Here is a 2059-nt window from a genome sequence, read left to right as displayed (position 1 = left end):
AAAGAATGCAAAATAACTCACTAATAATATATATATTGATTTACACATTTCAGTGATAATATTTTTGATATAGTGGGTTAAATAAAATACGTTATTGAAATTAATTTCACTTTTTTTTTCAGTTTTTAATGTAGCTACTAGAAAATTTACAATTTCTCATATGGTTCAATTTATTTCTATTGGACTGTGCTGGTCTCATAGATTATTCTGCCAGAACCCCTCTTGACTGAGCTATAACCTAAAGCAAATTATTTAATTTCTCCAAAACTGTTTCCTTCTCTATAAAATTAGAATAAGGCTTATCTTTTAAGGTAACAGTGAGGAAAAAAGAACATGCATCAGCATGTTGGAAAATCTCTGTTAGTATAACCATTACATTCATTGTATCATATAGAATTAACTCTCACAATGACCTTAGTGGCCTCAAGGGTCATATTTATTTAAGATACCTAGATTCCCAGACAGTACCTGACACAGAACAAATGTTTTAGGCACAGGCTATAACATGCAAGTGGGGGATGTGAGTAGCAGATGACAGGCTGGCTGATTTGCGAGAGCCCTAGCTCTAGTGGGTCCATTAGGGCAGGCATTCTTCCCTCCCTCCCCCGCAGCGGTCTGTGTCTGAAATCCATCACCGCACCCCTGGTGTCTACCTTCCTGGCCAGTGCACCTGCAGCCTGCGGCACCTCCAAGACCTTTTCTCCCAAATTCCCTCTGCAACACTTCTTCCATCTAGTTCCCAATCTTTTATAGACACCTTGACCCTGGCAAATGCTTTTGGAGAGGTGCTGCCCAGGGAGAATCCTGCAGGAAGCAGAGCTGTCTTCCCTCAGGAGCCATGAATCATTACACTTGCTTCTATTGTTGCAGGGGAGCAAACAAACAGATTATTTTCTCCAGCCATTTCTGGGCCTTTTTCAGAAACATTCTTGTCCCCACATATGAACTTCTAAACCAACAGCAAATTATTCTGGATAAATGCTAGTCGATGTGATTCCTTGGGAAGAAAACCCTAGGGTTTGTCTGTAAAAAATTAAAGGCCACATTGTTCTGATGCTCATGTGGGTGTAGCAGAGGTGGGGATAAGCCCTGGGAGCCAGTATCAGGGCCTGCTTCATTATCAAAGCCCCGTAGCTTTAGGGTTATCCCGAATTTGCCCTTAGAATTTGATTTATTTTGACTTGAGTTTGTAACATGGCATTGATGTTCTAGAAAGACCTTCTCCCACCCCAGCAAAGGTGAGCAGGATTACAGGTGGGGCTATAATGTCCAGGCATGGCCCAGTCCACATTGAGCTCTCTACGAATAGATCTTCTGGAAAAAGCAGACCCTAAAAAGTAGACTCCCCCTTTGTGGGAGTCTGGGAGTCAGTTTCTTTGGCAGAGAATAAGGGTCAGAGGTTGGAAAAGTTTGAAGAGACAAGGACTAGAAAGCAGGACACATCCCACCAAGATCAACTGCTGGCCTCATTCAAGGACAGAGTGAGGACTCGGGACCACAGCATCTCAAAGCCATCAGAAGCATGGGAACTATCAACCTAACCACCTACTCTGCACCTGTTTAGCACACGAGAAAACTGAGGCCCAGAGATGGGAAGAAATTGTCTAAAGGTGACCTATGAGGAGCAGGTCCCCACCCCAAGTCTCCTGGTTCCTACACTACACCCCTAACAGGGCTCCTTCCAGCCACACACATCACGTGCAGGACTCACGTAGGAATCATTCTTAGCCCCAGCTCCTGTTTATCAATACACAGATAGGATAGATGGAGGCCCAAAAGAGCTATCATGCTGCCTAAAATACCATCATTAAAGACTCCCTGATCTGCGTAAACAGGGTTCTGGTTTAGCCTGCAAATATCTCGGATGGATTCACAGAGTTAATTCTCAGAGACTCGTACTTTAAGGCAGCCCCTTCCTTGAAGCTGAGATGGAATGGTGATATTCTCAGGCAGCATGGTGTTGGGGACAGGGAGGAAGAGCCCATTATGAACATAGGATGCTGTCCAAGCGGGAGAAGCTTCAGGTGCAGATGGGGAGCCTCCGGGACGCCAGAGGACC

Source organism: Homo sapiens, chromosome 20, assembly GCF_000001405.40.
Source record: "Homo sapiens chromosome 20, GRCh38.p14 Primary Assembly".
In the NCBI taxonomy this organism is placed as follows: domain Eukaryota; kingdom Metazoa; phylum Chordata; class Mammalia; order Primates; family Hominidae; genus Homo; species Homo sapiens.
Note: the sequence above shows the minus strand (reverse complement) of the source record.